This window comes from Homo sapiens, chromosome 15 (assembly GCF_000001405.40).
Source record: "Homo sapiens chromosome 15, GRCh38.p14 Primary Assembly".
Taxonomy (NCBI): Eukaryota; Metazoa; Chordata; class Mammalia; order Primates; family Hominidae; genus Homo; species Homo sapiens.
Genome location: NC_000015.10, coordinates 30797927 through 30811056, shown reverse-complemented (window position 1 = coordinate 30811056; position 13130 = coordinate 30797927). Strand labels below are relative to the sequence as shown.

Genomic DNA, 13130 nt, shown 5'->3' with positions numbered 1-13130 from the left:
ATGTGTAGCAACAGATGGAAACCACCACTTCAGTTAGCAGAAGGAAGGCACTGAGCAGAGGGTTGAATATAATACATTGGAAAAATATCTTAAAGATAAAGAATTGGGAAAAAGTAATATATGTGAATATCACATCATCATTATAATAGGAAAAAACAAGGTCCTCAACATTGTCAAAGGTATAAATTCCTAAAACAGGTCCAATTCGTGTTCTCAAAACATTTTCCTGAAAAATGTTACTAGGTGGTATAGGGATAAATAGGTTTGCAAAGTACTGTACCCTCTATATATCTTGTCTCAGAAATTCAGAAAGTGTTAAAGACTCTGAGAAGTCCTGAAGGCAACTTCTTATATTTAATGCAGTGTATCTCAAACTCACTTGAGCACACAATACTTTTTTCCCCCGAGGCATATCTATTAAGGTCCTATAGAACAATATTCTTAGGCATACCATTTAGAGATACAATTCTAAAATGATTTTATCAAATATTATATTTCATGGCAAAGTTTTTCCCTGTATATTGATATATTCCAACACTTAGTCTTCCTTTTTGCAATATAAATCTTTTCAAGAGGAAATTATAAGCATTGATTAAATGCATCTTAAATTCAAAACCTTAAATAATATTCATCCCAGTATAATTCTTCTTATTGAAATCTATACTTCAAATTGAGTTAGTCCTATAATTTTTCACTTCTAATTAAACCAATTAAAGCAGGGTATGTCTACTGACCTACTTTCCAGAATTTAAAAAATAAACTAGGAAAAAATATCTTCTGAGCTGTGGGATGTTTCCAGAGCTTCATTAAAATAACTTGAAATTTTCATTTGGGTACAATTTTTGTTTATTTTATGGTTCAAATATGCAGCACAAAAGATGACTGGAAGAGGATTATTGAATCAAATTTAATAAAAGCAGAGTCTATATGAGGCAGTGCTGCTTCATTGCTGCTTTTTCTGCTTTGAGGATGGCAAACTAGAAAAGCCCTTAGATTAAGTTTTTACTTTACCTAAGACAGCATTAAAGCTGATTAAAAGGTTCCACTGAAATGGCAAAATGGCCATATCTCTAATAAGCGCCAGTTTAAAACTTAATCTTAAATTGGGCAGTCCTGGGGAAAAGAATTAGATTAAATTTATACCAATTTGAATTCTAGAAGTCAGTCTCATAGCAGCCATTGGCTACTTATACTGTGTGCTAAACTAAATCTCAACTCAGTCCCAGGAGGACACATTTCCTACTACAGGGCAACCCTTTTCCACCCAGTGATCTTAGGATTGATTATCTATGAAGGGTAGACCATGTGGTAGTAACATATTTTCCAGGGAACAAAATAAATCAGAATTAATAGTGATCAAACCCCACCCAGCCTCTTTATTAATACCCAACTTACAAAAACATATTTTAAGCTGTACAATTCCTCCACTGGAAATTTAAGCGCACATTATTATGAGTTCCTTATTTCCTGATAAGTCCCAATGGTTACAAAATTACTCAGTTTCTTTGAAGAATCAGGAAGCCACCACCCATGGGCATTCAATGCTGATTGTCATTTTTAACAAATTGTGGGAAATAAGCTTTAAAACTGGGTCACTACCCCTAAAAGTATGCAGTTTAGTTATAATATATCAATACTGATTTGTTAGTTGTGACAAATATACCATAATCATGTAAGATGTTAGCAACAGGGGAAACTGGGTGCCTGTGTGGTACACAGAAACTCTCTATACCACCTTTGCAACTATTTTCTAAATCTAAAACTATGCTAAAATTTTTTTAAATTTAAAAATTAAAAGTAGGTCACCAGAAATTTCCTACCCACGTAATATAGTCTATTTTGAATGTAGGCAAAAGAGGATTCTCAATTCTAGGACTGTCTCTCTAAAAAAGTAAAAAGCTGGCAATTTGATAAGATTACTGCAAGAGAAGCATGACTAAGTAGGCATATATCAACAGTCAATATGGTACCTTTATTACCTAAGAAAAACAAGGCAAAAATTTATCTTGGAAAACTGGATTGCAGAGAACCCTATCTTCTAATTTAATCATCACACACTTATATAGCTCATGTTACACACACAGTACGGTAATATTTATTTGCTGAAAAGCAGAATACGAAAGCATTAGATACTCCCCCTCCACCTATGAGTTCACCATCTAGTTAAGTACACGTCACTGCCAAGAAGCTTAAAATGAATAGTATTGTCCCCGATTTCTAAGAGCACACATACGCTGACGGGCAACTCTCATGCCAACCTCAAAGGAAGGTAGAATGGATAACAGCGTTAAGTATACAAATACTGTGCTGTGAACACTGTAGCTAAGACCATTCTGGAATAAACACTGTATCATCTTTAATGTATAGTATCCTATCCCAAAAGTGATATCAAAATGTCTTTAGTAAAATGAGTTCTGTTCTTCTTCATTCTTTCATTCAGCACCTACTGTCTGCCAAGTGCTGCTGTATATGCTGAGCACACTAACAGCACTAACAAAAATACCCTGCTCTAATAGAAACAGACAATAAGCATATGACGTAGATGGTGTTATGTACTATGAAGAGAAATAAGCCCAGAGTAGATGAGAGTTGATGGAGTTGTGTCTTAATTTGCCTTATTTTACATATATTTAATGTATTAATAAAATCGTGCTGACATCCTATGTGGAAAGGTTTACTGAAAATTTGAGAGACAGAGAGAGAATGGCTGATCTGTAGAACATGGGTACTGTCTAAAAGAACCTTCACTGATTCTTTCAAACTTTTCCAGAGATAAACTTAGACTCATTTTGAAAGTTGCTTTATTACCAAAAAATTGCCACTCCATGAAAAGTTCAGCACTTGATGCCAATAGGTGTGACAACAAAAAAGCAACTTCGGCATCACATATATGGTCAGGAAAACCATCAGAAACTAAGAGATTTTTTTTTTTTTTTTTTGGTGACAGAGTCTTGCTCTGTCACCCAGGCTGGAGTACAGTGTTGCAATCTGGGCTCACTGCAACCTCCGCCTCCCCGGTTCAAGTGATTATCCTGCCTCAGCCTACCGAGTAGATGGGATTACAGGCGTGCACCACCACACCCCAAAATGAGGTTTCACCATGTTGGCCAGGCTGGTCTCAAACTCCTGACCTCAGGTGATCCACCTACCTCTGTTGCAGGAAGTCAGGGACCCCGAACGGAGGGACCGGCTGAAGCCATGGCAGAAGAACATAAATTGTGAAGATTTCATGGAGATTTATTAGTTCCCCAAATTAATACTTTTATAATTTCTTACGCCTGTCTTTACTGCAGTCTCTGAACATAAATTGTGAAGATTTCATGGACACTTATCACTTCCTCAATCAATACCCTTGTGATTTCCTATGCCTGTCTTTACTTTAATCTCTTAATCCCGTCATCTTCGTAAGCTGAGGAGGATGTATGTCACCTCAGGACCCTGTGATGATTGTGTTAACTGCACAAATTGTTTGTAGAGCATGTGTGTTTGAACAATATGAAATCTGGGCACCTTGAAAAAACAACAGGATAACAGCAATGTTCAGGGAACAAGAGAGATAACCTTAAACTCTGACTACCAGTGAGCCAGGCAGAACAGAGCCATATTTCTCTTCTTTCAAAAGCAAATGGGAGACATATCATTGAGTTCTTTTTCTCAGCAAGGAACATCCCTGAGAAAGAGAATGCGTCCCTGAGGGGAGGCCTCTGAAATGGCCACTTTGGGGACGGCTGTCTTTTACAGTCACAGCAGAGGGAAGAAATAAGCCCCGGTCTCCCATAGCGCTCCCAGTCTTATTAGGATGAGGAAATTCCTGCCTAATAAATTTTGGTCAGACCAGTTGTCTGCTCTCAAACCCTGTTTCCTGATAAGATGTTATCAATGACAACGCGTGTCTGAAACTTCATTAGCAATTTTAATTTCGCCCCAGTCCTGTGGTCCTGTGATCTCGCCCTGCCTCCACTTGCCTTGTGATATTTTATTACCTTGTGAAGCATGTGATCTCTGTGACCCACACCCTATTCGTACACTCCCTCCCCTTTTGAAAATTGCTAATAAAAACTTGCCGGTTTTACGGATCAGGGGGCATCACGGAACCTGCCCACATGTGATGTCTCCTCCGGACACCCAGCTTTAAAATTTCTCTTTTGTACTCTTTCCCTTTATTTCTCAGACTGGCCGACACTTGGGGAAAATAGAAAAGAACCCATGTGAAATATCGGGGGTGAATTTTGCCCGATACACCTCAGCCTCCCAAAGTGCTAGGATTACAGGCGTGAGCCTTCGCGCCCGGCCAATAACTCTTTTTTTTTTTAAACATTGAAACAACATAAATATGGAAATGAACTACTCACATATGTTATTATATTGCCCATATCCTTCTGCAGCTTGCCTTTTTTACCCAAAGTTTTCTTCATGAGATTTACCCATGTTAATTCTTTTTAATCTAGTATGTTCATGTTTAATTGCTGTATAATATTCCACCACATGGATATGAGTTTAATTATCCAATCTCTTGTTGGTTAACTTACATTCTGCATCATCTTGTATTACTGCAAACACTACTGTGATAAACAGTTATTCCAAATTTCTTTGTACACATGTATTTTTTTGCTCAGGTATGTGCATCTTCAACTTCATTAGAGATTATAAAATTGCGCTCCACTTTACCTAGCTGAGTTTCCACTGGCCCATATCTCTGCCAGCAATTCTGTCAGACTTATATTTTTGCCACTCTGAAGATGACAGAATAGTCATTTTAACTTTCAATTTATCCATGAGTTTCTGGTTCAAGTATCTTTTCCCACGTTTACTGACCATTCCAATTTCTTCCTCTGTAAAGTAACTCTTCACATCCTATGCCCATTTTGTCTTAAGTTTTCCTTTTCATTATTAGGCTATTTTTCATATACTGGATACTAATCATTACAAAAAGTTTCCCTACAACAAGATCACAAAGACAGTTAGGTAAATTTTCTTTGAAATTTTTTCCAGTTTTCCTTTTCATATTTTAGTCTTACAATGTCAGAAAAAAAGACCTAACACTCAAATGTCAAAAAAAACCTAACTGAATAAAAAAGTGGTACATCCACACTACAAAGTACTAATTTAAAAAAAGATGAAGAACATTTCTATAAACAGATATGAAGTCATCTCTGAGAGAAGTTTAAAAAGGTGCAAAATGGGCCGGTGCAGTGGCTCACACCTGTAATTCCCAGCACTTTGAAAACATTCTGAGAGGCTGAGGCAGGTGGATCGCCTGAACCCAAGAGCTCGATATCAGCCTGGGCAGCATGGCAAAACTCAGTCACTACCAAAAATACAAAAAAAATAGCTGGGTGTGGTGGCACACACCTGTGGTTCCAGCTACCCTGGAGGCTGAGGTGGGAAGACAGCTTGAGTCTAGGAGGCAGAGGTTTCAGTGAGCCAAGATCACCCCACTGTACTCCAGCCTCAGTGACAGAGTGAGACCCCACCCCAGGTCAAAAAACAAATAAAGTGCACAATGGTATATGCTATCTTTTATCTAAGGGAGGGAGAAAATATTCCTGTCTCAGTCTCCTGAGTGGCTGGGACTGCAGGCTGAGCCACCATGCCCGGCTAATTTTGTATTTTGTATTTTTTTTTTTTTTTTTTTTTGGTGGAGATGGGGCTTCTCCATGTTCATGGGGCTGGTCTCAAACTCCCGACCTCAGGTTATCTGCCTGCCTCGGCCTCTCATGGTGCTGGGATGGGAACAGGAATTAAAAGAAATTAAAAAATGTGTAAACAAAAACTCAGTTGTATGTAAAAAAACCCAATTCCCCCTGAGAAAGAGAGGAGCTGGAGTCCTTCAATAAAAACTACTACCTCCTGTTTTTCTATGGCAGTGAGCCTTATCTCTCCTCCCTTCCCGGGCATTATAAAAACCCTAATTCCCTAACTGTACAACTGCAAGGTCACTAAACTAACTCAAGTTACAAAATATATTTTTCCTAAAAAAGGAAAAAATAATATAATGCATGATTCAACTGAACAATTATCTTTGTTTCTCACTTCTATCATATGCTTCATCCTGCACAGATCTACCCCCACCCCATAAAATGCTTAAAATGTAAGTCTTGTTCAGAACTCAGTGCTTTAAATGTTAATCCGACTGGGCCAATGCACGTAAATAATTAATTAATAACCTCCTAAACCCCATCAGTCTCTCTAATTCCTTAAAAATCCTGCTACAGGATTGTAAGCATGAGCCACCGGGGTGCTGGGATTGCAGGTGTGAGCCACCGCACCCAGCCCAATTTATTAATCAGAAAAGAATAGATTGGCCTGGTGTGGTGGCTCACGCTTGTGATCCCAAGAATTTGGACAGCCGAGCGTGTTGGATCCCTTGAGCCTAGGAGTTCCAGACCAGCCTGGGCAACATGGTGAAACCGGGTCACTTTTTTTGTTTGTTTTTTGTTTTTGTTTTTGTTTTTTGAGGCGGAGTTCTGCTCTTGTTGCCCAGGCTGGAGTGCAGTGGTGTGGACTCAGCTCGCCGGGCCTCTGCCTCCCGGGTTTGGGTGGTTCTCCTGCCACAGCCTCCCTAGTGGCTGGGATTGCAGGCGTGAGCCATCATGCTCGGCTCTTTTTTTATTTTTTTGGTGGAGATGGGGTTTCTCCATGTTGGTCAGGCTAGTCTCAAACTCCTAATCTCAGGTTATCTGCCCGCCTCGGCCTCCAGGGGTGCTGGGATTTCAGGCATGAGTCACCACGCAAGGCCCAATTTATTAATCATAAAGCAACTGATCGGCCTGGCATGGTGGCTTATGATTCTGATCCCAGGATTTGTATGGCTGAGCGTGGGGGATCGCTTGAGCCTAGGAGTTCCAGGCTGGCCTGGGCAACATGATGAAACTTGGTTTCTCTTTTTTTTTTTTTTTTTTTGAGACAGAATTTCGCTCTTGCTGACTGGCTGGAGTGCAGTGGCGTGGTCTCGGCTGCCTGTGGCCTCCGCCTCCAGGTTTGGTTGGTTCTCCTGCCTCAGCTTCCCAAGTGGCTGGGATTGCAGGTGTGAGCCACTATGCTCGGCTTTTTTTTTTTTTTTTTTTTTTTTTTTTTTTGGTAGAGACGGGGTTTCTTCATGTTTGTCAGGCTGATCTCAAACTCCCGACCGCAGGCGATCCGCCCGCCTCGGCCTCCCTGGGTGCTGGGATTGCAGGCTTGAGTCACCATTCCTGGCCCAATTTATTAATTAGAAAGGAATAGATTGGCCTGGAGTGGTGGCTCATGCTTGTGACCCCAGGAATTTGGACGGCCGAGCGCGGCAGATCGCTTGAGCCTAGGAGTTCCAGACCAGCCTGGGCAACACGGTGAAACCTGGTCACTTTTTTTTTTTGTATTTTTTTTTTGAGGTGGAGTTACGCTCTTGTTGCCCAGGCTGGAGTGCAGTGGCGTGGACTCAGCTCACTGGGCCTCCGCCTCCCCGGTTTGGGTGGTTCTCCTGCCTCAGCCTCCCGAGTGGCTGGAATTGCAGGTGTGAACCACCATGCCTGCTAACTTTGTATTTTTTTTTTTTTTTTTTTTTTAGTATAGACGAGTATTCGCCACATTGGTCAGGCTGGTCTCAAACTCCCGACTGCAGGTTATCCACCCGCCTCAGCCTCTCGGGGTGGTGCGATTCCAGGCATGAGCCACTGTGACCGGCCCAATTTATTAATCAGAAAGGAATAGATTGGCCTGGCGTGGTGGCTCACGCTGGTGATCCCAGCTGGGACTTTGGACGGCCGAGCACTGAGGATCGCTTGAGCCTAGGAGTTCCAGACCGGCCTGGGCAACGTGGTGAAACCGGTCTTTTTTTTTTTTTTTTTTTTGAGGCAGAGTTTCGCTCTTGTTGCCCAGGCTGGAGTGCAGTGGCCCGGTCTCGGCTCCCCGCAGCCTCTACCTCCCGGGTTTGGGTGGTTCTCCTGCCTTAGCCTCCAGAGTGGCTGGGATTGCAGGCGTGAGCCACCATGCCAAGTTAGTTTTTTATTTTTTTATTTTTTTGGTAGAGACTGGGTTTCTCCATGTTACTCGGGCTGGTCTCCCGCTCCTCACCTCAGGTGATCTGCCGGACTCCACCTTCTGGGGTGCTGGGATTGCAGGCGTGAGTTACTGCGCCTGACCCCGACACCAGGTCTCTTAACAAAAAAACAAAACAAAAACCATAAAGATTAGCCTGACCTGGTGGGCCCGGCGGGCAGTCCCAGCTACTCTGAAGGCTAATGTAGGAGGATTGCTTGAGCCAGGGGGTGAAGGTGGCAGTGAGCCATGTTGGCGCTGCTGCAGTCCAGACTGGGCGACAGAGCGGGACAGTGTCTCAGGAAAAGGGAAAGGAAAAAAAAATAAAGAAAAAGAAAGTGTATAAAATTGCTAAATCAGGGAACAGCTTAAGAGTATATTATTGAGAGAAATAGAGGCAAAGGTGAGCAGACACCAATGTTCACTTAGTGGAACTGCAGGTATCTCTAGACAGGAGGCGGCTACTTTTCCAAAAGAAATCTACTACTGACTTAAAAAAAAAAAAAAGGTGGTTTGTTACAATATACAAATAGCTAAACTTTATATAGCCACCACCCTCTTCTAGCACTGCTCTAAGCCTTTTCCTGCTCTGAAAGAGCTACTGTTACCTCCATTGTAGAAAAAACAGATGCCAGAGGTTGTTGTGGAAGGACCACGGAAACTATGAAATTTACTTGTAAGTTTCGGACTTAAAGGTTCTTCCTGCTCTGCTCCATACACTGCAACATTTTAGTTAACATACCTCTTAAAATACTGGTCCTTTCTGTATTTGGAGAGACTCATATTGCAGTTTGAAGTTTTTTCTGGCACTAAGCATTTGGTCATAAGCTCATTTGTGTTTTATGACAGGTTTAAGTACCTCTTCAGACATTGTTCAGTTAGGAATGTAAATATGAGCAAACAGGTATCTGAAATAGATAACCTAGAAAAAAATCACTTATGAGAAAGTCAAGAAAATGTAAACTCTGAATTTGTGGCTATTTTCAGAATGTATTTTTTGGTATTTAATGGCATTATGAGTATATTCATTTTTTAAAATTCCTTGTCTTCTACAGATACATATAAGGTAATTTAAAAAATGATATGATATATAGGTTTTACTTCAAAATAATTCAGAGGAAGAAGGAATGTATATAAATGAAGTGGGAATACAAATGGAACAAAACAGGATGTGGCCAGGTGGCCTCTCCTTGGGCAGAGGAGGTGAGGCTCACCTCACAAAGATCTTTGGAGAGAGGGAGGCGGGGATCTGAGCACAGTGGGAGCCCCCCTCTTCCAGCCTGCCCACCCCGCCTGAGGGCTCCACTCACCACCATGCTTGCCTGCAGCCCCAAGCTCCTGGGGGGCTGGGGCTCCTGGACCGGGCTCATCAGCAGGGTTCTGGGCAGTGGCCAGGAATTTTCTGTGCCCATTGTTGTAGTTGCTATAAGCCGCAACACCATCTGCTGCAGCTCCAGCAGCTTCACCTGGAGGGAGGGGTGCTCAGCTGCCATGCCGCTGCCTGCGCCCACCCTCACACCCACCCCCACCCCCACAGAGATGTTGCACACCCTACCTTCATCTCCTCCCTGAGCTCCAGCCTGATGGTGTCCTCCTACCAGTGCCGCATCTTTGGCACGGCCCCCTGGTTCTGATAAAAGGTGATGGATTTTCCTGCGGGAGGACAGGGCTCAGACGCTGGGGCCCCTCCGACGGTCCTGCAGCTCCCCCTGCCGTGCCCTGGCCTCCCACTCACTGATGGCATCTATCTCGCCAGTGGTGGATGAAGCAAAGTTCTTTTTTCTTCACCAGCTCACTCAGGTCTGCCTTCTCCTCCAGTTGGTCCATAAAGCTGCTCTGGAGCCAAAATATTGCAGTCACATCTCGGCAGCGACCTGCCCTCAGGTGGCATTTTCAAGTCATGGAGAAGGCGGAGGTGAGTCCTGGCATGGGCCAGCTTCTCCGTGACTTCCTGCAGGGCCCAGTGGGTCTCCCCACTCACAGACTCGCCCCCAGGCCCTGGGGCTCCAGGGCCTCTGGCTGCCTCTGGCTCCTTCTGGGCCGAGGCCACCGGGTGAGCCAGGCGCTGGCAGCACACCCTCTGCTCTTTCACCTGCTCTTGTAACTGTGCCTGCTTCTCCTGGGCACTAGCTCCAGCGGACTTGAAAAATGCCACCTGAGGGCAAGACGCGAGCATTCTTGTAGGGGCATACACGGAGCAAACGGGGCAGAGAGGTGGAGTGCAGGCCCTTCCCTTGGGGCCTCAGAGAGTACACGTTTGTCACAGGTGAAATGGTGTCTGACCACTGGCTCCCAGAAGGGGTGAGGGTCCAGAGAAATCAGAAGGCAGGGAAACGAAGAGCATAAAGGGGTCTTGGAGGGACCACAGAGAAAGGTGGCAAAATGGGTGCAGGGGGGAGTCAGGCTCACCATGGCCTCCCTGCTCTCCAGGTCCTCTGGGACACTCGGCATGGGCCGAGGTGCCTCCTCCCCGTCACTGTCCAGATGTTCTCCTCCGTGTCCTGTGGGGGGTGGCCAGAGGGGTCTTCAGACAACCCAACAAGGGAGGTACTGTGGGCCCACCTCTACCTCCACCCTCACTGTGTAACCCTGAGCCAGCCCCTCCCCAGAGAGGAATGAGCTGTTGTTCTTTATTTTTACTTTTAAGAATCAAGATCTTGCTATTCCGCCCAGGCACACTCCCACTACTGGTCGATGTGGGAGTTCTGACCTGCTCCCTTTCTGACCTTGGCCAGTTCAGCCACCCTTAGGCAACTTGGTGACCCCCCGCTCACAGGAGGTCACCACACTGATGCCGAACTTAGTGCAGGCACCCGGTCGGCATAATGACCAGCTGTTCTAAAGGTCTCTTCCAACTCCTCAATCCTATGCTGCTAGCAGTCCCCCCTTCCTCCTGGGGCTCTCTCCTCTTCCTCTGAGCAGTCTCCCGTACCTTCCCCAGGGAGAGCCATGAGGCTCAGCTGGGCCGTTAGCTGCTGGTTCTGCTGGCTGGCCGCTTCCAGGTGCTCCTAAGGGGCCAGGACAGAGTGAGAAGGGATGGAGTTTGCCAGGTCGTCCCCCTCACAGCCCCATCCTTGGCAGCTCCCTCCCCTGGGTCTCCTGCAACTTTTGGCAGGCCATCTCGGCCACTGCTTTGCCCCAAACTTCCTGCTGCTGCAGCTGTTTCATTAGCTGGGTCTGTTGCAGGCACTGCCTGTACAGCGCCTCCTTCTCACAGGTCAGCTGCTGATAGGCGGCCACCTGCTGCTGATAGGTGGCCACGTACTGCTGCAGGTGACCCAGGTAATGGTCTGGCTGCTGCTGCAGACTCTGAGCCTCTTGGCTCTTCAGCTCCACCTGCAGGAAGACCCTGGGTGTGAGGGCATGTGGTGGCTGGCTTCCAGATTCTGGGCCCATTAACAGGGTAGCAACAGCACTGTGGGGCTCTGTCGCCTGCCCAGGCCCCTGTCCCCTTACTCCAGGCCTAAGTGACTGCCTCCCTTTCCTAGAACCCCATGCCTCCTTCCCCAGCCTCAAATCTCATACCCTCTTCTCATTTAATCCTCAGCACCTCTGTAAGGAAAATGCTAACTTCCCTTTGAAGTTAAAGAAACAGAGACTTAGAGATGCAAAGTACTTGAATGGTGACCAGTGGAACCGAGGCTGGAATCCAGTTTTAATCTAAGGAGACTTTTTGTTTTGTTTTCCGACAAGAGTGTCACTCTGTGGCCCAGGCTGGAGTGCAGTGGTGCAATCTCAGCTCACTGCAACCTCCACCTCCTGGGCTCAAGCGATTCTCCTGCCTCAGCCTCCAGAGTAGGTGGAATTACAGGCATGCGCCACAATGCCCTGCTAATTTTTATTTTTTATTTTTGTAATTTTAGTAGACATGAGGTTTTACCATGTTGGCCAGGCTGATCTCAAACTCACGACCTCAAGTGATTCTCCTGCCTCAGCCTCCCAAAGTGCTGGGATTACAGGTGTGAGCCACTGCAGCTGGCATAAGGAGCCTGTTATAGCACTGTCTCTTCCCCTGTGATTGGGGGCTCCATGCCTCTAGCTGGGATGATGATGTCCAGACCTGAGAGGAGCCCAGGGCTACCCACCTCTAAAAGTCAGAGGGCAGGAAGCAAGAAACAGTCACAGTACTGCCCTGGATGGTGCTGGGGTCACCAGCCCCCAGGCTGGAGCTGCCTCTGGCTTGGTACCTCCCCTCCCCAGAGGCTGCTGCCTGCCTCCCAGCCCTTTTTGGATGGGGTGGAGGTTTCCGTGTCCTTCACCTCACCAAGCTTCTCCTGTAGCTCCTTTACTTGCTGCTCCAACTGCAGTGCGCTCTTGTTCTCATTGTTCTGGACAGAGAGAAGCAATCAGCAGCCACCCACTGCAGCTGGAGACCCCAGAACTTGGTGTCTGCCTCCCATGGCACTGGGAAGGCTGGAGGCCGGTTAGAAAAATCATCCCCTCTCTCCCACAGCCACCTGGCTCACAGGTGCCTTTAGAAGTAACCTTTCACATGAGGGCTACACTGCCCCATTTTAGAGGTGGGGAAACAAAGGCCCAGAGGGCTTGGGAGGGCAGGCTCCCCAGGAGGGGCAACGCACCAGCTCCTTGAAGATGCTCTGTGGCTCGGCCAGCTGCTGAAGCCTCTTATGCTGCTCCTAAAACCTCTCCTCCTGCTTCCGAAGCCTCTCTTCCTGCTCTCGAATCCTCTCGTCTTGTCCCCAGTTCAGGAGACTTATGCGCTGATTGTTTTTGACCTGGACCTGGAGCTCTCCTGCCACTCTATCTAGTTCCTTCCTCAGGTGCTGCGGCTCCACCTCAGAGGGCACTGCTGGGGGCTCTGGAGGCAGGGGTTCAGCTGAGAAAGGAAGCAGACAATAAGGGCTTCTGGATTCTCAAACAAAACAAAACAAAACAAAAACCGTCCTCTTGGTACACAGCTCCTCTCAGGCTCCCCAAACTTGGCCTCACTGCTAATGATTCCTCACAGCCGGATGGTAGCCAGTCTTCAAAGCCACTTTCAGATAGAGAGAACTGTGGGTGGCTGACAATGGGCCCCCTTTGCTGATAAGGACCCTGAGGCTCATGGAGATGACAAGACTTGCCGTCTCCTAGCACAGACCTCTTTCCCTCTG

At 45.8% G+C, this 13130-nt stretch overlaps 1 protein-coding gene and 1 pseudogene across 1 annotated transcript; both read right to left on the bottom strand.

Moving 5' to 3' along the window:
* Positions 1 to 8293: 8293 nt before the first annotated feature.
* On the bottom strand, positions 8294 to 12621 carry LOC101930434 (putative golgin subfamily A member 8I). The gene is made up of 8 exons (XM_017022809.1): positions 12597 to 12621; positions 12276 to 12344; positions 10949 to 11024; positions 10426 to 10517; positions 9752 to 9852; positions 9572 to 9669; positions 9327 to 9482; positions 8294 to 8938 (listed from the first exon to the last, which is right to left on the bottom strand). Exons 3-8 carry the CDS (start codon positions 10965 to 10967, stop codon positions 8895 to 8897), a joined length of 510 nt encoding a protein of 169 aa, XP_016878298.1. The 5' UTR covers positions 10968 to 11024; positions 12276 to 12344; positions 12597 to 12621; the 3' UTR covers positions 8294 to 8894.
* On the bottom strand, positions 10661 to 10897 carry RN7SL82P (RNA, 7SL, cytoplasmic 82, pseudogene; annotated as a pseudogene).
* Positions 12622 to 13130: the final 509 nt, after the last annotated feature.